At 50.6% G+C, this 22,745-nt stretch overlaps 1 long non-coding RNA gene across 8 annotated transcripts in view, besides 3 other annotated features; it reads left to right on the top strand.

The window, feature by feature from the left end:
• LALTOP (lung cancer associated lncRNA targeting TOP2A) overlaps positions 1 to 22,745 on the top strand; it is a 140,518-nt gene that overhangs the window by 35,481 nt on the left and 82,292 nt on the right. For 3 of the 8 annotated variants that reach the window (NR_198947.1, NR_198945.1, NR_198946.1), the window contains one exon: positions 16,942 to 19,340. The exons of 4 other annotated variants lie outside the window; for them this stretch is intronic. This is a non-coding gene — a long non-coding RNA (lung cancer associated lncRNA targeting TOP2A). Of the gene's footprint in view, positions 1 to 2,878; positions 3,809 to 16,941; positions 19,341 to 22,745 lie in introns of those variants that run through there. One more of the 8 variants, NR_198952.1, reaches the window with a different exon arrangement.
• Positions 6,228 to 6,742: an enhancer, noted in NCBI's record as "H3K4me1 hESC enhancer chr2:1586969-1587483 (GRCh37/hg19 assembly coordinates)". NCBI's record gives its function as "activates a minimal SCP1, AML or CMV promoter by ChIP-STARR-seq in primed H9 embryonic stem cells {active_cell/tissue: H9 hESC(primed)}" and the evidence as "EXISTENCE:reporter gene assay evidence [ECO:0000049][PMID:30033119]".
• Positions 6,743 to 7,257: an enhancer, noted in NCBI's record as "H3K4me1 hESC enhancer chr2:1586454-1586968 (GRCh37/hg19 assembly coordinates)". NCBI's record gives its function as "activates a minimal SCP1, AML or CMV promoter by ChIP-STARR-seq in primed H9 embryonic stem cells {active_cell/tissue: H9 hESC(primed)}" and the evidence as "EXISTENCE:reporter gene assay evidence [ECO:0000049][PMID:30033119]".
• Positions 17,264 to 17,765: an enhancer, noted in NCBI's record as "NANOG hESC enhancer chr2:1575946-1576447 (GRCh37/hg19 assembly coordinates)". NCBI's record gives its function as "activates a minimal SCP1, AML or CMV promoter by ChIP-STARR-seq in primed H9 embryonic stem cells {active_cell/tissue: H9 hESC(primed)}" and the evidence as "EXISTENCE:reporter gene assay evidence [ECO:0000049][PMID:30033119]".

Raw genomic sequence — 22,745 nt, 5'->3', positions numbered from 1 at the left:
TATTTGCTGTTGGTGGTTTTTTAAACAGCAAATCTGGGGGCAGTGAAGGGGCATCAGAAGCTTTGCCAGTGGCCGGAGCAGCGGGGACCTCTCAGCTGCTCTGTGCAGGGGCCTCGCAGGTGCAGGACAGAGGGTCTTTGAAGGCAGAGACCGCAGCACCTTTCACTCCCACCCCTGAGAGAGGCATCATTAGGTTGACTCTTCACCAAAGGGTCCCTGCTGGATAGACTTCAGTAGGTTTGTGTTTTCAGGTTGACATGGGTTTGGGCACCCTGGTTCAATTGTCTTTTATATAGTTTCGGGGCTGGTTCAACTTGAAGCTGCGGCCAGAAGGACAGCCCCTTATTGCCTGGGCCCCTCCCCTGGGAAGGCGCTTGGCACTTCCTGGCCTTCTCCGGACCCTGGGCTTTTGAGCTGTCTCCTCTGAGCCAGGCTGCTGTCTGTTCTCATGATGTCTGTGGTCTGTGCCCCTCCTGCAGGACTCTTCTGAGATTTGCAGTTTACATCAGCATAGACCCAGCAGTTACAGTCACACTGGGTGTCTAAATGGGACCCACTGGGCGCCTGCTCCTGGGCCCTGCATGGTCTGTCTGCTCCACCACGGACATGCCGCTGCCCGGGGCTGGAGGCCAATGCATCCGCACACACAGGTTGCAGGCAGAGGCTCCGTTCAGCCAAGGAAGGAGCGAGCAGCTCTGCCCAGGTCTGCGCAGGCCTGGGGCCCTGGTGGGGGATTCGTGGTATGACCCGGCTCTGCCACCTACCGTCAGACCCTGCTTCTTCCTCCACACCCCCAGCCTCCTTGTCATAAAGGGTCCAGCCTTGGCCTTGTGGCCCCTGATAGTAACATCTCATGTGATATGTGTATTAATCTACTGGAGCAGCCATGACAAAACACCACAGGCTTTGGATTGAACCACAGGAATTTACTTCCTCTCAGTTCTGAAGGCGGGAAGTCCAGGACTAGGGGCCGGCAGAGCGGGGTCCTCCTGGGCCTCTCTGTGGGCTGTGGGCTGCGGGCAGGGCAGGGCCCTCCCCTGTGTCCTCATGTGGACCCCTCTATGCCCTCTGTGCGCCCTCCTCTCATGGGCCGTCGCCAAGTACAGTCGAGCTCCGAGGGGACCGGAGGCCACAGTGCAGCCCATGGTGCTGAGCAAGGCTGGAGCTGGAGGTGTCGGGGACATGGGTGTGGGGACATGGGTGTCGGGGACATGGGTGTGGGGACATGGATGTGGGTAGGGGACACGGGTGTGGGGACACGGGTATGGGGGACATGGGTGTCGGGGACATGGGTGTGGGGACATAGGTGTGGGTAGGGGACACGGGTGTGGGGACACGGGTGTGGGGACACGGGTGTGGGGGACATGGGTGTGGGGGACAGGGCAACAGACTGAGTGTCTTCAAGGCCCTGCCCAGCTCTCACGTCCAGGAGCCAAGTGGAGCCCAGGGTGGCTTCCGGCCGGTGGAGACCTGAGTGGGGGGAATGGGTGGTGTTGTCCATGCCCTGGGGTGGCAGCCCCTCTTGGAGAGCTTTGGGGAGCACTGTTGACCCAGGGTTCCAGGCTGAGGATCCGGCGGGGGCCATGGAAGGCTTTGGAAGGACTGAGTCGTCCTTTTGAGAGGTGGGGCCCTGCCCTCACCCAGAGCTGCATTCGCTTGTTCATTGTGTGAAAATGAAAGTTCCTGTGAGGGAAATCCATGAGCACAGGGCATAGACTGGCAGGGACAGAGGGACAGAGGGACGGGGGACAGAGAGACAGAGGGACAGAGGGATGGGGGAGAGAGGGACAGAGGGACAGAGTGGAGATGGACAGAGGGACAGGGCGGGGACAGAGGGACAGGGCAGGGATAGACGGACAGAGTGGGAACAGAGGGACAGGGCAGGGACACGGACAGAGGGACAGGGTGGGGACAGAGGGACAGGGATGGGACAGAGGGACAGGGTGGGGACAGAGGGACAGGGCGGGGACAGGGACAGAGGGACTGGGGGACAGAGGGACTGGGTGGGGACAGAGGGACAGGATGGGGACAGGGACAGGGTGAGGACAGAGGGACAGAGCAGGGACAGAGGGACAGAGCGGGGAGAGAGGGACAGGGACAGAGGGACAGGGCAGGAGGAGATAGGGACAGTGTTCGGACAGAGGGACAGGGTAGGGACAGAGGGACAGGGCGGGGACAGAGGGACAGAGGGACTGGGGGACAGAGGGACTGGGTGGGGACAGAGGGACAGGATGGGGACAGGGACAGGGTGCGGACAGAGGGACAGCAGGGAGAGAGGGACAGGGACAGAGGGACAGGGCAGGAGGAGAGAGGGACAGTGTTCGGACAGAGGGACAGGGTAGGGACAGAGGGACAGGGCGGGGACAGAGGGACAGAGGGACTGGGTGGGGACAGAGTGGAGACAGAGGGACAGGGAAGAGAGAGAGGGATAGGGCAGGAGGACAGAGGGACAGGGTGGGGACAGGGACAGGGCGGGAGGACAGAGGGACAGGCTCTCCATGGCCACTGACAAGGGCTTCTGCAGGCAGTGCTGCCTCCACATCTGTGTGGGAGCCCAGCCCATTAGGATAAAAGCTGCACCTTCAGGGTGTAGCTCCAGGATTCCCTGGGGACGGGGTGTCCCTGTTCCGGTGTGTCTCCCCACCCGGTCTCCCCACCTGGTCTCCCCACCTGGTCTCCCCACCTGGTCTCCCCCGGTCTCCACTGTGCAGGTTCCAGGGAGGGCCCTGTGGGTGGGGCCAGGGGTGGGGATGCTGGCCTGGATAGGAATCTGGGTGGGGAGGGCAGCCTGCTGGGCAGAGATGACCACAGGGAGGGCCGGCCTCGCCCTCTGCCAAGTTCCACCTCCACATTCCTTCTCCTTGTTTTCTACTCCCAGTCCTGAGGTCTCAGCTTTCCAGGGAGAAGTGGCAGCCAGGAGAGGCCAGGAGCCGGGGCCGCAGCGAGGGCACAGCCAGATGGACTGAAGCGCCCAGGGAGTAAGGGGGTGGGGGAGGAGCTGGGTGTCATCCCGGGCACCTTGATAGCTTGGGGGGCCTGGTCTTCCTCTTCCGGAACTTGTCCGTGAAGCTAATGAGCTGAGGAATCTCCTTGATTGCAGACCAGGAGGCAGAAAGGTTCTCTAATAAACACCTGCGCTGTGCCCGGCCTCCACATTTGCAGGGGGTGGGGCTCTTCACCTCCCCGGGACAGCCAGGCTCGTCCTAGGGACAGGTGAGGCTGAGTCAGTGCATTATGCAGGGGACCTGGGGCCAGAAAGGGATGGCCTTCACCCAAATCTCTGTGCAGCTGCTGAGGTCCAAGATGATTACTTCCCGAGAAGTGCTCTTAACTCACCTAAGGGGTCACCAAGGCAGGAGGACTCAGGCACGGGTGAGAATCAGCCTGTGTGGATCAGCCCTGTGTTGAACCTTTGCATGTAGCTCGGCGGACTCTGCACTGACGCATGGAGAGTTGGCAGCTCCCTCTTCATCTGAAGGGCTGGGGAGACACAGTTGCACACCTCCCCGTGGTTACCTGCACCTCCAGGTGTCCAGGGATCTTCCCCCAGACCCCAAGCCCAAGGGGCAGAGCTTTGCCATGGAGCACACAGTGGAACCCGGGGAGATGAGATGTGACAAGCTGTCCAGTTGGGAGGATGAGGTGTGACAAGCTGTCTTCTGGTTGAGCAGCCGTGGGATATGCATCCTCCTGGGAGGACGGGCTTGAATGCCCCTGTGATGTGGAGCTCACTGCTCTGGAGGATTTCTGTTCCTTCCATGGTGGCAGTAACTATTTGAACATTTAAAAAAATATTGTTTCAAAAATATCTTTCCATTACTTCCATTCCTTGGATGACCTGCGCTTTCCCCATAGGACACACGGACACGTTTAAATCTGGAACACGGCTCTGGCTCATGGGCTTCCAGGGACCATCTTAGAGGTGTCGGTGCCCATTTCTCTGAGAAGAGCTCCCGTAGACATAACTGGGCTCTGGGTGACTCCTTGATCACAGGCTCGGGCCTGCGTAGAGGAGCAGCCTGAAGACAGGCACCCAACCCCTCAACCCGCAGCCGCCCACCCCCTCAGCCTGCCGATGGCCGCCCACGCCCCTCAAGAGTGGCCGTCCTCTCCTGTCTGCCACTGCTCTGGGCTGAAGCTCTCAGGCAGCCCCCACGGTCTCTCCTTGGGGCTCGGTTGGGCTCGGCTCCATCGGCCTGGGACTCCCGGCTCCTTCCTCAACTCCGGTCTAGTAGGAGATGACCATGGTCAAGGAGACACGTGCTCCCCAGGGTGGAGGGCTGGAGTCCCAAAGCAGGAATGCTATGTTTTGTTGTTTACTCTGAAGAACCCCGGAGATTCATTAGGAAACAGGGCATGTGCTCCCGGGACATTTGGAAAATCAAATTTGAAAATATATATATATATTCACTGGGCTGTGAGATTAAAACTTGGCGGCAAAAAATATAACCTAGGTTTAGCCTGGCAAAAAAAGAGTCAATCTGAGGCCAAAAATCACTCCTGGGGCATCCCTAGGCATTCTGCACCAAAGCCTGGACCAGAGGGTGAGGAGGCCAAGAGGAGGCTATGCCCAGGGTCCCGGGGTGGGAAGAGGTGCCCCCAAGGCGCTGAGTCAGATGGGGTCTGAGGTGCTGCTGATTCAGAGGTGAATGAGACAGGCACACTTGCAGCCGGCAGAGGTCAGCACCCGAGCAACCAAATAAATAAGTACAAATTATGGTAGACAGCGGCTCAGGTTTTTAAAGTTGACCTGCTTTTGAAGCCTTTCTGGCGCCTATGCTGAGCTCTGATGGATGGAAAAGGGGGTAGTTCTCTAGCACAGGCCCCGTGAAGGCTCGGAAGCTGGGAATACAGAAGCCTCTATTCCGGCCAGGGAGGTGTTTACAGACCAGGCTGGTTTTAGGAAAATGCTCCCATTCCTTAAGAAAATTTGGAGCAGATGATCTCAGGGAACTGTTGCTGGGCCCGGGAACGGGTTGTGTAGTGTTTTTTAACGGCCAGTACAGAAGACAGCAACAGGCAGGAGGAAGGCAGGACAGAGAGAGACGGAGCGAGGGGCCTATCTCCATTTGCGCAGCCGGGCATGCTCGGAAGGCACAGTCTGGGGTGGGCAGGGCTCAGCTGGGTGGCTCTGCGACTGCTCCTCTTGGTGCTGTTGGGGGAGGGAATAACCTCTAGAGTGAGACCACCCCTCAGGCAAGGAGACAGGAATTGTCCTGAAAGTGGGGGGAGATTTTCCACAGGAAATATTGGGAGAGGAGGCAAGGCACTCAGGCTTGGACCCCGGGGGTCCTGGGAGACCCCTGCATGGGGCTCAGGGTGGGCCTCACGCTTGTCCTGGGAGGAGTGACCAGGCTCGGGTTCTCTGCTCTCACCCACTAATTCTACACCTTCAGGAGGGTCTATGACATCCACGTTTGACCTCTGCTCATGGTCCTGGGGGATCCGGCGGGCAAGTGGTGAAGGAACCTGGCCAGCGGGTAGTGCTGGCTGAGACCCGGGGGCTGGGACTCCCGTGAGAGCTCAGCAGGGCAGCGCCCGCGGTGGGTCAGAGTGCGCTGTCGGGGACAGAGAGGGAGCGGGGGTCCCGGAGAATCCAGCCCGACTTGGAAGAAGGAAGCCTCACTCCCTCCCCAGGGGACCCAGTGTCTCCCAGACCTTCTGTGCACTCAGCCCGGGGCCTGGTCAGGACCAGGACACCAACCCAGCAGGCCTGGGTGAGTTCTCAGGGAGCAGCTGGTATGGAGCCCGCAGGGCAGGAAGGAGGGAAGCAGGGGACGCCCAGGGTGGAGCCAGGGCGCAGGAGTGGGACTTGGCACGTCGTTATCCTTGAGACCCTGACTGCTGTGCCATGAATGATGGGGTCCTTCCTAGCTGCCCCTGGAGCGCAACCCTGTGCAGCAGAGGGGAGCCTGTGAGCGCAGCGAGTCACGCCCCTCTAATCTGGGACCAACACACTTTCTTTTGAAGTTTTAAATGTTTTCTGAAGTTGGCTCACACATTTTCTGCCCATTGTGGATTCTGTTTGTTCATAGATTCATACAGATGGGATACCTCTAATCTTTTTTGGAAGAAAGGTGAGATATAAATAAAAATGTATTAAGGCTGTGTATCCATGATCGAAAGCATACTTCAAAGTGCAACATGCTACTCAAATCCATGAGAGATTATTGTGTAATTATTGTTGAATTGAGCCTGCTCTATTTGTAATGAATTGACTGAAAGTTTGTCTGTATAAATGGTGTAAGATAATAGGCTCTTCAAGCTGTCAGATAAGAAAGGCTTATTGAAATACCTCCGTGAGCCTCGCTTGTAAGCCACATTCTTTACTTGGATAAATGGCATGACTTTGGCTTATTTTATGAACAGGAGATTCATACCTGTTTACTCTGCCATATTGCGACTGTTTTTCTTTCCTTCTCTGCCTTCTCTGCGATTCTTTAGACCATTGTCTGTCATTACAGTCCCAGGCTTAGCACAGGGACTGGGGTGGAGGAGGGGCTGGAAGATGATTATTGAATGTTTGGTGAAAAACAAAGTGGGGAAATAAGCACATGAGTGAGTTGGGGGGCGAGGGGTGGCTGTGAGGGAGCACGACCTCCCCTCCCGGCACCTCCAGCGTCCAGGGACAGCCGCAGAAACAGAAGAGTGACCAGCGGGAGGGAGGGCACAACACAGGCCTCCGAACACGAAGACTGTGTGTCCACAGCGGGAGTGGAAACGGAGCATGTCTGTGCGTGTGGATGCGGTGCGGAGCAGCGGTGCCCTGGCTGGAGGCTGAGGGGGAGTGCGAGGGCTATGAGCGGCTTGGTGATTCTCTCCCACTCCTGCTGGCACAGGATGAGGCCACACAAGGTTTGACAACAGCGGTGTCTTCCAGCTGAAGAAACCCCTGGGTGGGCACACAGGCGTGATGGCCAGCCGAGTTCTGTGTCCGTTTTCTTTCCAGCAAACGCTGTTTACCCAGCTCAGCCTGTAGGGTGCCCATGGCCCACGAGGACGTAGAAGGGGAACCCGTCCTGTGTGTCAGGCATTTCACACCTGTGGTAATGCATGTGTAAGCTCTTATCTGGTTCTGTGGGTTCTGCTGGATTCTGCTTCAGTGGGGAGCTCTGCGGATGTGCAGAAGGAATCAGCTCTGGTTTCTCATCAAGCAGGAAATCCCAAGTTCTCACTTAAAGATGAAACTGGAAGATGGCTCAACTTTTATAGCCATACTCCAATTGCCAGATCTGGGACAAAAAAATGTGTAACAGAAAAATATATGACAAAATGACATTTCCTGTGTGTGTGTGTGTGTTTTTTTTTTTTTTTTTTTGTTAATCAGTCAGAAAAGTCCCCATGAGTGACAGAAGATTCCTAAGAAACAAGCTATCATATTTGGTGAAAAGGCTTCACTGATCTCCGAGTTTTGCAAACAGGAAAAAAAAATATGGCTGTTAGGAAGAACTTGGAAATCCCAGTCTGCGAGGACAGACTCCATCCTACAGGATGACGTGGCCAAGCTGATTGTGTTATTGCCTGTCTCAACGAGTGTTAAGAGTTAGTGACGGAAACTTTCTGGTTTTAATAAAGTGGATTCTGTGCTGAGATCTTATGGGTTTGCAGGGTTTGAAGGAGGAGATGGCTGAGGAGCGTTGGCCTCAGCCATTCTGGCAATCTCTTAATCTACCAGCTGGGAATTCCATTGTTGGGAACTGGCAGGGCAGCTTTGCTAAGAAGGAAGGCAGGTGGGAGAGAGAGAGCAGAAAATGGGGTATGAGAAAGTATAGTCTTCATGGTTTGCTAAATTCATGGAGAAGGCAGCAATGGAGTGAAAGTGTGGTTGTGAAACGGCTCTCGGTAAACCACAGGCTGCTTATTTGGATTTCTGTGAGAGCCGCTGCAGGAAGCCTCCTTCACTGTGGGAGGATCCATGGATTGCTGTGAGAGCCGCTGCAGGAAGCCTCCTTCACTGTGGGAGGATCCATGGATTGCTGTGAGGCCGCTGCAGGAAGCCCCCTTCACTGTGGGAAGCATCCATGGATTGCTGTGAGAGCCGCTGCAGGAAGCCCGCTTCACTGTGGGAGGATCCATGGATTGCTGTGAGGCCGCTGCAGGAAGCCCGCTTCACTGTGGGAGGATCCATGGATTGCTGTGAGAGTCGCTGCAGGAAGCCCGCTTCTCTGTGGGAAGCATCCATGGATTGCTGTGAGGCCACTGCAGGAAGCCCCCTTCACGGTGGGAAGGATCCATGGATTGTTGTGAGAGTCCCCGCAGGAAGCCTCCTTCACTGTGGGAAGGATCCATGGATTGTTGTGAGGCCACTGCAGGAAGCCCGCTTCACTGTGGGAGGATCCATGGATTGCTGTGAGAGTCGCTGCAGGAAGCCCCCTTCACTGTGGGAAGGATCCATGGATTGCTGTGAGGCCGTTGCAGGAAGCCCCCTTCACTGTGGGAAGGATCCATGGATTGCTGTGAGGCCGCTGCAGGAAGCCCCCTTCTCTGTGGGAGGGATCCATGGATTGCTGTGAGGCCGCTGCAGGAAGCCCCCTTCTCTGTGGGAAGGATCCATGGATTGCTGTGAGGCCGCTGCAGGAAGCCCGCTTCACTGTGGGAAGGATCCATGGATTGCTGTGAGGCCGCTGCAGGAAGCCCGCTTCACTGTGGGAAGGATCCATGGATTGCTGTGAGGCCGCTGCAGGAAGCCCCCTTCACTGTGGGAGGATCCATGGATTGCTGTGAGGCCGCTGCAGGAAGCCCCCTTCACTGTGGGAGGATCCATGGATTGCTGTGAGGCCGCTGCAGGAAGCCCCCTTCACTGTGGGAAGGATCCATGGATTGCTGTGAGGCCGCTGCAGGAAGCCCCCTTCACTGTGGGAGGATCCATGGATTGCTGTGAGGCCGCTGCAGGAAGCCCGCTTCACTGTGGGAAGGATCCATGGATTGCTGTGAGGCCGCTGCAGGAAGCCCGCTTCACTGTGGGAGGATCCATGGATTGCTGTGAGGCCGCTGCAGGAAGCCCCCTTCACTGTGGGAGGATCCATGGATTGCTGTGAGGCCGCTGCAGGAAGCCCCCTTCACGGTGGGAAGCATCCATGGATTGTTGTTAGGCCACTGCAGGAAGCCCCCTTCTCTGTGGGAAGAATCCATGGATTGCTGTGAGGCCGCTGCAGGAAGCCCCCTTCACTGTGGGAAGGATCCATGGATTGCTGTGAGGCCGTTGCAGGAAGCCCCCTTCACTGTGGGAGGATCCACAGCTGCCGCAGCACAGTCCCACCTCCAGGAATCTCATAGGATCCCTTGAGGAAAAGCCTAAAGCTGCCGCCATTAGAAATCCCCGAAAGAGCATGGCATTGTCAGGATTCTGGGGGTGAAATGGTTGTCACGAACCACCCAAGAGGAGAACTGGCCTCTGCTTGGTTTATTCATTCCCTCCGTTCGCTTTGATTTTAAACTTCTTTTGGAGAGATATTTATTGGGTTTCTTTTGTGAGAAAAGTTTGTTCCCGCTAAAAGAAGAGAATATTTTCAATGCTACAAACTCCAAAGCATAAGGACTTTGGGTGAACTTTCTGTTGAAGTACAGCATTTAGACAGCAAAGCCCGCAAATCTTAGCTTTTAGCCCAGTGGAGTTGGACAGTTTATTAACACCTTCAAGCAACAACCACTCAGTCAAGACAGAATGCTGGCTGCACATTCGTTACCACAGATTCATCTTGCCTCGTTTTATGAACTCCATGCAAATAAAATCAGACAGTACGTAGTTTTCTGTCTGTACCATTTCCCACTTAATATCCTGTCTGTGATTCATTCATGTGGTTTTGGGCATCTATGTTTTTTTTTTTTTTTTTTTTTTTTTTTTTTTTTTTGTCGTTGTGTCGTATTTCATGTTAAATATACCACAATTTATTTAACCAAGTACTGATGGATAGTTTTTGGTTTTAGGCTATTACGAGCAATGTGGATATGAACAAGTCTTTTGGTGCACATGTGAATGCATTGCAGGTGGGTACCTGCCTAGAAGTGGAGTTGCTGGGTGTGATAGAATTCCTGCATGCTCAGCTGTATAAGACACTGTCAAAATGTTTCCCTAATGGCTTTACTGATTTACATTCTCACCAGCGAAGGATCAGAGTTCCAGCTGGTCCAAGTCTTTTCCAGCATGTGATGTTGGCAGCGTTAAAGTGCAGGCATTCTGGCAGTGAGGAGTGGTGTTTCATGGTGGTTTTAATTTGCATTTGCTTGATGATTAATGAGGTCGAGCCCATTCAGATGTGCATATTGGTCATTTGAACATCTTTTGTGAAGTGCTTGCTTAAGTCTTTTTCTCACTTAAAATAAATTATCTTCAATTTGTTATTGATTTGTAATGTCTTATATTACCTATATATATCCTTATATATATATAAGAATATATACCCTTATATATATATAAGAATATATACCCTTATATTTTAGATATGAGTTATTTTATATATAGAGAGATATATTACATTTCTTCTCTCAATTTGTGCCTTTTATTCTCTTATTAATTGAACAGAAGTTCTTAATTTTTGTCAAGTCCTATTTGTCAATCTTTTTGTGTCCTGTTTAGGAAAGCTTAATCAACATTAAGATGTTTTCCTATGGGCCTGGCACGATGGCTCATGCCTGTAATCCCAGCACTTTGGGAGGCCAAGGCAGGTGGATCACGAGGTCAGGAGATTGAGAACATCCTGGCTAACACAGTGAAACCCCGTCTCTACTAAAAATACAAAAAAAATTAGCCGGGCATGGTGGCGGGCACCTGTAGTCCCAGCTACTCGGGAGGCTAAGGCAGGAGAATGGCGTGAACCCAGGAGGTGGAGCTTGCAGTGAGCCAAGATCGCGCCACTGCACTCCAGCCTGGGCGACTGAGCAAGACTCTGTCTCAAAAAAAAAAAAAAAAAAAAAAAAAACCAATGTTTTCCTATGTGATCTTCTAGAAATTTAATAATTTCACCTCTCATTTCCAGGTTCAATGGTCACTTGGAAATGATTTTTAAATATATCATATTGCAGGGATTCAGGTTAATGTTATGACTCATGCATAGCTGACCTGGTGATTGTCAGCTGAAGAATGAGGAGGTTCATACATTTGGAAAGGAGGGCTTTATTTCTTGTGAAGAGTGCAAGAGTGGCCATTTTTATAGGCTGGGAAGTGTAGCCTCCACTCAGAAGCTGGAAACAGGTACTACATGGGTGGAAAGAATAAGACAGAAATTTATTCAGAATGGGACAGCCAATATACATACTTAATAAGGTATAGGAATCATTAATATTTATGAAAAGATGGCATGCACACGTGCACCTGAGTTTCATGCTTCTCCATGGATCACATGTTCAAAACCTGGCGGTGTTAGTTTGATCTGAGGGTGGAGATTTTGGCTCTCTGACTTCAAAAGGTGAAGCAGAGGATATGAAAACCCTCCCTGCACATTCCCCGCAGAGTGGCCAGAGCCATTCCATGGCCAGTGGTCTCCTGTCAGGAAGGAATGCTGTTGGTTATTGAGTCAAGATCGTAAAAAGGGAGGGTCAGTGATGAGGTTGGTTGAATCAGCAGTGGAGCAAGTCTTCCAAAAGGGCTGGTTTCTCTTTAACCCTTAGGGAAGGAAGCCTAATGGTGGTGGTGAGAGAGGGGTGTCATGAGGGGCATCCCACCTCCCATCCCATCATGGCCAGGAAGTCAGTTCAGGTTTTTCTGGGGTCCCCGTGGCCAAGAGGAGGGCTGTTCAGTCAGTTCAGGGGCTGAGGATTTTGTGTTTTACTTTTCATGACATATAGTTGAAAGAGTGTCTTCTCCCCATGGCCCTGCACTCTCACCTTGGTTGTCATTGAGTGACTGTATATGTGAGTGTGTCTCTTTCTGGAATTTCTACTGTGATTTGCTGACCTTGCATCAACACTGTTTTAATTGCTATAGGCTGATAAACGTAGTCTTGATGTCTGGTAATATGAATGCCTCGGCTTAGTTGCTGTCTGTCAAGATGGTCTTCGCTGGTCTGGCCCCTGTGCCTTTCCATATGTATCTTAATATCCGCTTGTCAATTTCCACCAAAAACAAAACTAATGCCTGCAGGAGTTTTGATTGGTATTGTATTGAATCTATAAATCAATTTCGGCTCACTTGACAATTTTAACATTTAATCCTCCAGTTTGTGAACATGGTATATTCCTGTCTTTATGTACAACTTCTTTAATAAGTTTGAATAATTTTTTTTCAGTCTTTTATAAAAGTTTTGCACATTTTTGTTAGATTTATTTCTTGGTATTGATGTTCTTATGGTATTGTAATTTTTTAAAAATCTCACTTTCTAGATATGCAACCATATAGAAATGCAATTGAATTTTGGATGTTGACCTCATATTCAGCAATCTTAATAAATTAACTTATTAATTTAAATAGTTATAGTTGTTTTGAAGTTCTACATTCAAAATATTTTTGTTTGGATAAATAATGAAGGTTTTATTTGTCTACTTCTAACTCTAATTTTTAAATTTCCTTTTCTTACCTCATTGTCTCAGTTGGTACTTCTAGTACAATACTGAAGGAAATGGAGTTAGTGGAAATTCTTGTCTCATTTCCAATTTCCTTAGTTGTGTCTTCAGTATTCCATTATTGCATAGGTATACGCAGTTTTGTAAATATTCTGACATATTTGGGAAATATCCTTGTGCTTATGGTTAACTGAGGTTTCTTTTTAATTGCTTTTTGTCTGAATCATGAATAGATGTTGTTTTATTATATAATATTTCTGCAGTTATTGATATTCTCATATAGTTTTTATCTTTTACTCTGTTTTTATGTTGCTTTACTATGACTAATTTTAAATATAAAACCCATTTCCATTAGTAAAATAAATCCTACTAGGCTTAACATATTATTCCTTTTACATAGTGTTATAAATAATAATAATAACCTTTTATCTTTATGAAATATCCTTTTTTATCTTTAGTAATACTTCTTGCTTTAAAGCAGGGGTGTCCAATCTTTTGGCTTCCCTGAACCACATTGGAAGAAGAATTGTCTTGGTACACATAAAACACACTAACACCAGTGATAGCTGATAAGTTAAAAAAACCAAAATCACAAAAAAAAGCTCATAATGTTTTAAGAAAGTTTATGAATTTGTTTTGAGCTGCTTTCAAAGCCATCCTGGGCCGCATGCAGCCCATGGGCAGTGGGTTGGACAAACTTGCAAAGTCTGTCTTTTCTCTTCATTAGTTATATCAGTTTTTAAAGTTGGGTATGTTTGGTTTTGAACTTTGTGGTGTATCTTCTTCAATCCTTTTACCCTATTACTTCTTTGTGCTGAGGTTTAAAGTACATCTTCACTGGTCTGGCCCCTGTGTTGTAAGTAGCGTACCATGGGATCTTTTATTTTATCCAGAGAGATAATCTTTGTTTTTCAGTTAGCATGTTTAGTCCATTTACAGTTAATACTATTACTGTTGTATTTTATTTTAAATCCACCATCTATTATTTTCTATTTGCCCCATGTTCATTTTTCTCCTTCCTTGTGTTTTTTATGAACGAATCAAGATTTTTATTTCTCTATTTCTGCCTCTTAGCTTATAGTTAACATTTTTACTATTATTTCAATGGTTACTTTTTGCCAAAAATTCACCATTGACATAGTCTATCCTAAATTATTACTTTTACATTTTATGTATTTAAATTATTTCACTTTTTGGGCTTTGTCTTGCATTTTATCCCATGTTTCAAATGCATGAAACATTTTTATTATTGTCTTAAATATTAGATCTTTATGTAGGTTTACTTCAAATATTTACCCTTTTGTGTATTCTTTATTACTTTTAGCATTTCCACTCTTCCAAAAAAAAGTGTCCTGCCTCATGTTCATGAGTTTTGGTTGTCTGGGAACATCTTGATTTCCACCTTCATTTTGGAAAAGTATCCTTATTGGGCATGGATTGTTATATACGATCTGTAAACACTCCAAGGCCATCACTACATGCCTTTTGTTTTCTATCTGTTGAGAAGTCAACTGACACTCTAAAAGTGGCTCTTTGAAAGTGTCGTGTTATTTTTCTCTCGGTATTTTAAAGATTTATCTCTTTGTCTTTGGTTTTCAGAATTATTCTGATGTGTTTAGTGTCAAAAGCTAAAACTATAAAAAGTCTGAGGTTTTGCTCTCCCTGTTGCCTAAGTCCTAGGTGAGTGTGGCTGTGGGTTTGCATCACTGATAAGGAGCTTGAGTTCAGGGGATCTGGGTCCTACCATGGATTGTGAGACTGGCTGGCCTTTGCCCCGGAGGGACACATCATGACAGTGGATGCTGAGTGGACCTGCCTTTTCCTCTCCGGAGGGAAGCACTATCTGTGTCTCCCAAGGCTGCACACTAAGCAAACATACTTGAAAAGACAGTGGCGGGTCAGTGGGTCTCAGTGCCTCTGCCCACAGCCTGCACAGAGACCCCAGGGGCCCCGTGAGGAGCTGTCTCCACAACAGCCACCGTTGTTTCCACACTATGTTCACTTCTGGTGAATTTTCCCATGAGGATGTCCACAACTATGATTGATCTGACAGATAGGAACCATGTGCACGACTTTGACTGATCTGGACAGATAGGAACCACACCCACTCCATCTGTGTCTCGCAGCCTTGAATTCAGGCCACTGACCACAGGCCGCTAGTCCAAGGCAACTGTGCTGATGGTCGAGGGAACCCGCATGCATTTGGTCCCTTCCCATCATCGAGTGTCAGAGGTACCCTTTATCTCAGCCGACTTTCCTAAACTTTGTGACTTTTCTTTAACTATTGTCCTCCCTTCATTTTTATTTAAATTTTTTCCCTTCTAATTCCTTCACAAACTTTATCGACCCATGAGACCAAAGCCCCAGATAAACTGAAAAACTGTGTCCTGGAAGGATAAGCCTTCAAGTCTTCTAGGGAGATATGTGTATGAAACATTCAGACATCCTTTTATTCCAGAATCTTAGCTTCTTTGCCTGATTTTTATAATATTATTCCCTTCCAATTGTATTGTATCTAACTTAGAAAAGCCTCTCACATTGCTATGGTCTGAATGTTGGTGTCTCCCTCAAATTCATGTTGAAACCTAACCCTCAAGGTAGCAGTATGAAAAGTTGGGACCTCTGGGAGGTGATGGGGTCATGAGGGTGAAGCCCTCATAAATGGGGTTAGTACCCTTGTAGAAGGGACCCCGAGAGCTCCCTCACCTGCCCCATTGGTGAGGACACAGTGAGAAAGCACCATCTGTGAACTGGAAATGGAGCCCTCATCTCTCAGCAACCCTGGCAGCCCCTTGATCTTGGACTTCCAGCCTCCAGAACTGTGAACAATAAATGTCTGTTGTTTCTAGACGCCCTCGTCTAGGGCACTTTGTTACCACTGCCCACACAGATGAAGACCCATGTTTATCCAATATCACTCAACGGCTTTCCTCCTCCTGTCCATGAGACCTGCTCTAACATACCCCAGCGGATCGTGAACACTTGGCATTTCTGATGCATTTTGACGCTTATCTAACTCACCCTCATGCTGCAGTGTGTCGGGTATTCCAGATTCCCCTTCACAGAGGGTCCCCTGTCTCATCCTCCTCCACTGCCCTTCACCGCCTGTCTGCCCTGCTATCATCTCCCGTCTTGTCCGGCCTCCCCCAACCACACTCTCCCTTCACCTAGCAGAAGAGAGGACTCCACCTGCCTGGAGAATGCTCTGGGTCTGACCCCTGCCTGCTTTTTCATGTATTTGTTTTGTTGCTTTTTCCTACCAACTTTCGTTGGGGCTAAAGTGCCTTGTCCTCTGTCTTTGCCAATCTGGGCGGCTGCATCTGTGGTTCCCCTGGCTGGCTGCTTGGTAGTTTGAATTTATTTTCTGTCTTCCATAAGCCTGACTCCTCTTTACTTCTAGGTATTTGAATCCACCTTTCTGCTCCCAGAAATACTTTCCTGGTGTTTGTACCTTTCCACACTCTGCCCACTCTATCCACCTTTTCAGAGTCAGATCAGATATCACATTTTTCTGTCAGAACTTCTCCATTCCAACTGAAAATGATTGCCCCATTCTCTATCATCCTTTTCCAACTTATGCCACCTTTTATTGTATCTGAAATGTTCTGGTTTTGATAATTTGAAAAATGTTTTGTATGCTGGCATCTTACTTCCCCATTGTCTTGAGGAGGGGGAGCTTCCAACGTGTTTCTCGCTGAGCCGGGCTCACAGCTTGCCTTCTGCTTGGATAGGGTTGTTGCCTAAGGATATTTGTTGTTTCACTGAATATTTTTGAATCTAAATACAAAAAAACAAACTTGGGCTTTTTTCTGCTTCCTTATTATAACCCCTTTAAACATATTTTCTTTGCAATGTGTAATTGCACCAACTTATTGGGCAAATATCATGCTTTTGTGTATTTTAAGTTCACAGATAACCACTCATCATTTCTAGCTCTGTATGTGTAAGTCTGGACCCTAAGTGCAATTTCCATTGTGTTAATATTGACTGTCTTTGTAATGCCTGTGTTTAGTTTGAGCACATTGGTTAATTTCACTTATATGATAAGGCATCCTACACTTCTTAACCATACTTTCTTGCAAGACTGCTGTAACTATTTTAATCAATGCCTTTCAAGGTACCCAGGCTCTGGAGAGAAGAGTGGAAGTTGAGAGGATGAGGGGAACCAGCTTCCTGAGGAAGTGCCCCGTCCTTGGCACAGGGCTGGGAGGTCTCCTTTAACCTTATTTGGCGGTCCACACCATTCACTTTGGCAGTTGAATCTGTCTTGGGATAGTCAGTATTTCTCTTGGTGATCTCAAAGTGCAGATTGGCATGGAGAAGGGCAGCAAGTCGTGGGCCCTTCCTGGGCAGAGAATCTACCTCATAGTGTAGACATTCATGGGGGGTTCTGGACAGGGCACTCCCCGCATGCTTTTTACTTTGTTTTGTTTTACTTCTTAGCCTTGCCCTTCAGGAGGCAGAGGGCGGTTGAGTCACTGTGGTCGTCTAAGAACTAAGGACATCTAGTTACGTACAGAGTCTTCGCCATCCTCCTCCGACCTCCAATATCCAAGGAACAACTTGCAAAGTGGTCTGTTTTCCCAGCAGGAAAATCCACTGGGGCGGGGCGTGGGCCAGTGTGGGTGGAGGAATGACTCCTCTCCCAGGGGTGAGATTCTTGAAGCTTGAATTGTCCGAGCTGTTGTTTCCTCCCCTTCTTGGTCACTGCAAATGCAATTATGAAATAATTCTCGGGGAAGCATGAGCAACATACTCTGCAGTGACTCCAGACTGGACCTTCCAGCTTTGATCATTTGCAGGACTCAAGTCCACACAGGAGATTGAGAGAAGAAAAAAGGACTCAGAGGCAAAGACAGCTCTGAGCCCCTAAGGGAAAGCTCAAAGTCAGGGTGCTAGGAGGACTTGCCCAGCTGTGTAGACACAGCTGAGCTATGTCTACATTGAGGCCGAAAGTTAGAAAGACATTGACACTAACCCCTGAAAGTAATTAACATAACGATCATGTATTGTCTATTACAGATTGGCGTGATGACTAGCTGCAGGACGGTTTTGGTTTTCTAATTGTTCTCTGACATCCCCATTGAAGCAGGTTTTATCATCTGTGACCTTGTGTCCATCCCTGTGATGTTGTGTGCGTGTGTGTGCATACGGACACATACAACACACGTCTTTGGTTGTAAAGCACACCTGGGGGAAGGTCAGCTCACACACAATGTACTGTCAGGGAGCTCTTCCCCAGGCCTGGCAGCCTCACCCCACAGTGGCCACCACAGGCCCATCAGCCTCTGCCATCGTGGTCTGCCTGCAGTTGAGTTTGTTAATTGACATAATATATGTTGAAACTAATTTTCATTGGCGAAATCAGTGGCAATTCAGAAGTGTGGATTGCTGTAGAAATACTGTGCCCGTCCCCCATGTATGAATAAGGGTCTAAGAACCTTGTAGGTGGAATGCCCTAAGCCCCTGGTGGTGCGTCCCACACCTCCCAGAAGGACCTGCCACCTGGTCTCTGCAGGTGGTGGTCTGCTGCCACCCAAGTGTGACCCTGCCTGTCTCTCTTCTGAGATTGGTTCATAACTCGTCACCCCTACGACCTGCAGATTGCAAGTTTAAGAGAGGACGCTGGGAGGAGAGCCAGAAAGGGGAGGTCGGGACATGTGAAACCTTGCACGGTGGGTGGGGGCAGGACAGTGGGCGGCTCAGGTGTGGAGACAGCATCCTTAGGGTGTGGACTGGGGCTGCCAAGTGTGGACAGCTCTCTGTCTCTCCAGGGAGAGCCCATGGGACCCCAGCTTCTGCAGGACGTGTGCTGGGGCTGGGTGGCCTCACCCCTGCTGGCTCCTCTCCTGGGAGTGGGAAGGCAGGGGAGGGTTTTCTTTTCTTAGATTTCTAAGAAAAAATGTCTGTCCACTATAAACCGAACTGTCTCCCCAGAATCCACACATTGACATCCCAAACCCCAGGATGACTGCATTTGGGGAAAGGGTTCTAAGGAAGTAAATCAGGTCCAAGGGGGCCATGAGGGTGGGGCTTTGATCCAATAGGACTGGTGTCCTTAGAAGAAGGGGAGGAGATGGCAGGGCTGCACTCTCTCCACCACGTGAGGACACAGTGAGAAGGCACCGCTGTCGTCAAGCCAGGAATGGAGCCCCCACCAGACTTAGAATTGCCTCATACCTGGATCTTGGACCTCCAACCTCCAGACTCAGAGAAATGCATGTCTGCTGTTTAAGCCGCCCATCTGTGGTGTTTTGTTATTGCAGTTCGAGCTGGCTGAGATAACATAGAAGAAAATGCAGAGAGAACGTGGGGAGACACCACTGTAAATGCATGAAACTCTTGAGACTTCAGGCTACAGCTTAAAAAAATCCTTCTAACAATTGCAAAGATATGGCATCTACCTAAGTGCCCATCAACTGATGAGGGGATAAAGAGCTGCATGTACACCATGGAATACTACTCAGCCATGAAAAAGAATGAAACGATGTCTTCTGCAGCAACTTGGTTGAAGCTGGAGGCCATTATTCTAAGTGAAATAACTCAGGAATAAAAAACCCAGATGCCTTATGTTCTCACTTATAAGTGGGAACACAAGGCTACGGGCATGCAAAGGCATGCAGGGTGGTATAATGGGCACTGGAGACTCAGAGGCGGGGAGGGAGACGGGGTTGAGGGATGGAAAGTTATGCCTTGGGTATGATGTGCACTACTTGGGTGACAGGTGCACTAAGATCTTAGACTTCACCACTGTACCTTCATCTGTGCAACCAAAAACCTCTTGTACCCCTAAAGCTATTGACATTATACAATTAAAAAAAAAAATCCCTCCGGCCATCACAGTCCCTGAGACCAGTCCCTCTGCTTGGTCAAGCGTCCTGGGTGTGGTTGAGGCGATGCCCCCAGGGCCAGCTGCTTAGCAACCCCCACCTTGCCTCAAGCTTCAGGCAGAGCTGAGCTCTAGACCCCTGGGGAGGAGGCTCTAGGTATGCATAGGGAGCATGCATCCCCTCAGAGTTGGGGTTCCGGCAGATCCTCAGCCCCCAACATATATACTAGAGTTTTCATTCAGAGCCCTCAGGGCAGGAAGAGCCTCTCCTGTGCCCTCTCGTGTCCTCAGCTTCTGCCTGGGACCTGCTCCCAGCAGCTGCCCCACCACCTGTGCTCTCCCCATCTCACGCCAGAGTCAGGCAGTTGCACAGACCGGGTAGCAAAACTCTTCTGGAACTGCACACAGGTCACCCTTGCCTTAGGACAGCACCCTCTGCAGCCCTTTCCTTTTTGACCAACCCTCCCTTTGGGACCTTATTTCCCCCCTTGCTCTCTCCTAGGCATCTGCCTTGCCCCTTCCACGAGGCCACCACACAGATCCCGTCATGACCGTGGGTGTCACAGTGCTGGCCACCCTGCCCTGCATTGACTGCCTGGACACGCCTGCAGGAGGGGAAAGCCGTTGTCCTTTGGTGCCAGCTCTGGTTTGGGTCTTCTCACCACCTGCATTTCATGTCCTGTTGGTTTGTGGCCTCGGCTCCTTTATTAGGGCTTTATTAGGGCTTTCCAGATACATCTTTTTCCTGCATATCGGGATTCCTCCAACTCTTTTTTTTTTTTTTTTTATTTGACGGCGTCTCACTCTTATCTTCCAGGCTGGAGTGCAATGGTGCGATCTCGGCTCACTGCAACCTCCACCTCCTGGGTTTCAAGCAATTCTCCTGCCTCAGTCTCCCGAGTAGCTGGAATTACAGGCATGCACACCATGCCCAGCTAATTTTTGTATTTTTAGTAGAGACGAGGTTTCATTGTGTTGGCCAGGCTGGGCTCGAACTCCTGAGCTCAAGTGATCCGCCCATCTTGGCCTCCCAGTGTGCTAGGATTATAGGCGTGAGCCACCGTGCCTGGCTGCCTCCAACTCTTTACTCCTCATGGAAAATGTCACATTTAAAAGCCACAATTTTATTTCTATCGATTTGCATTTACATTGAGTCCATACTCGTATTCTAGTTTATAGTTCAGTGAGTAAGAAACTGACAAGGAGGTCACTTTTCAAAGTCACAGGAGGAAAGCTTCTGCTTGGAACCTGCTGCCTGGACGCACACGCTGATTATTCACTCCCTGCATCGCGGCCATCACGGCTGCCTCCAACGCTGGAACCCACGCCCCTGCATCGCGGCCATCACGGCTGCCTCCAACGCTGGAACCCACGCCCCCTGCATCGCGGCCATCACGGCTGCCTCCAACGCTGGAACCCACGCCCCTGCGTCGCGGCCGTCACTGGAACCCACGCCCCTGCGACGCGGCCGTCACTGGAACCCACGTCCCCTGCGTCGCGGCCGTCACTGGAACCCACGTCCCCTGCGTCGCGGCCGTCACTGGAACCCACGCCCCCTGCATCGCGGCCGTCACGGCTGCCTCCAACGCTGGAACCCACGCCCCTGCGTCGCGGCCGTCACTGGAACCCACGCCCCTGCGACGCGGCCGTCACTGGAACCCACGTCCCCTGCGTCGCGGCCGTCACTGGAACCCACGTCCCCTGCGTCGCGGCCGTCACTGGAACCCACGCCCCCTGCATCGCGGCCGTCACGGCTGCCTCCAACGCTGGAACCCACGCCCCTGCGTCGCGGCCGTCACTGGAACCCACGCCCCTGCGACGCGGCCGTCACTGGAACCCACGTCCCCTGCGTCGCGGCCGTCACTGGAACCCACGTCCCCTGCGTCGCGGCCGTCACTGGAACCCACGCCCCCTGCATCGCGGCCGTCACGGCTGCCTCCAATGCTGGAACCCACGTCCCCTGCGTCGCGGCCGTCACTGGAACCCACGCCCCCTGCGTCGCGGCCATCACGGCTGCCTCCAATGCTGGAACCCACGTCCCCTGCGTCGCGGCCGTCACTGGAACCCACGTCCCCTGCGTCGCGGCCGTCACTGGAACCCACGTCCCCTGTGTTGCGGCCATCGTGGCTGCCTCCAACGCTGGAACCCACGCCCCTTGCATCGCGGCCATCACGGCTGCCTCCAACGCTGGAACCCACGCCCCTGCGTCGCGGCCGTCACTGGAACCCACGTCCCCTGCGTCGCGGCTGTCACTGGAACCCACGTCCCCTGCGTCGCGGCCGTCACTGGAACCCACGCCCCCTGCATCGCGGCCGTCACGGCTGCCTCCAATGCTGGAACCCATGTCCCCTGCATCGCGCCCGTCACTGGAACCCACGTCCCCTGCGTCGCGGCCGTCACTGGAACCCACGTCCCCCGTGTCGTGGCCGTCGTGGCTGCCTCCAGCACTGGAAGCCACGTCCCCTGTGTTGCAAACATTTATTCCAGACCCACTGCACTGTCTTCAGTCTGAAATCTAACGACGTAAAAGAAAAGAGAGATCATTAGGTCACTAATCAACACAACATAATCAGGGCATTCAAAACTGTAGCTGCAATTTGAGAAATAAAATATGTCAAATATCCCTTTTCATTCTGTTGTAATGACGAGACTTGCAAGGTTAGCAAATCCCTGTCCGAAACCGCTGACCACATATTTTTCTTCAGTCCCCTCCCTCCTCAAGAATCCTCAATGGCTCTCTGTCACTACTGCATGGAGGAAAACTGGTGTCCTCTCCTCTGCCCAGCTGGGGACTGGAAGTGACCCAGGACCATGCCAGGCAGAGTTCTGGAAAGGCTCCGGGGACCAATGCAGCAGGTCCCTGACGACCCGGCGTCTGCTGCGAGGGGCTGGCTCTCTCTGGCTGCAGGGACCATGTCTGCTGCTTTGGAAGAGCTGGGTGCCAGTGTCCTGGCTGGTGGGCGGTCCCTGTGGTGGTCATTGGCATCATTGCCAGGTTACCAGTGTAATTGTTGGTTTACTGGTGAAACAGCTGGTTTATTCATAAAATAATTGGTTTACTGGTGTAGTGGTTGGTTTACTGATATAGTGACTGGTTTACTGGTGTGGTGGTTGGTTTACTGGTATAGTGGCTGGTTTACTCATATAGTGGTTGGTTTACCGGTATAGTGGTTCATTTACTTGTGTAGTAGTTGGTTTATCAGTATAGTGGTTGATTTACTGGTACAGTGTTTGGTTTACTGGTATAGTGGTTGTTTATTGCTGTAATGGGTGGTTTACCTGTGTAGTGGTTAGCATGGTGATTGGTTTACCAACGTAAGTGGGTGGTTTACTGGTGTAATGGATGCTTTACCAGTATAGTGGCTGATTTACTGGGTGTAGTGGCTAGTTTACCGATGTAGTGGTTGGATTACCAGTT

Source organism: Homo sapiens, chromosome 2, assembly GCF_000001405.40.
Source record: "Homo sapiens chromosome 2, GRCh38.p14 Primary Assembly".
Classification (NCBI taxonomy): Eukaryota; Metazoa; Chordata; class Mammalia; order Primates; family Hominidae; genus Homo; species Homo sapiens.
The sequence above is the reverse complement of the archived record's forward strand: the minus strand, read 5'-3'. Positions and strand labels throughout refer to the sequence as shown.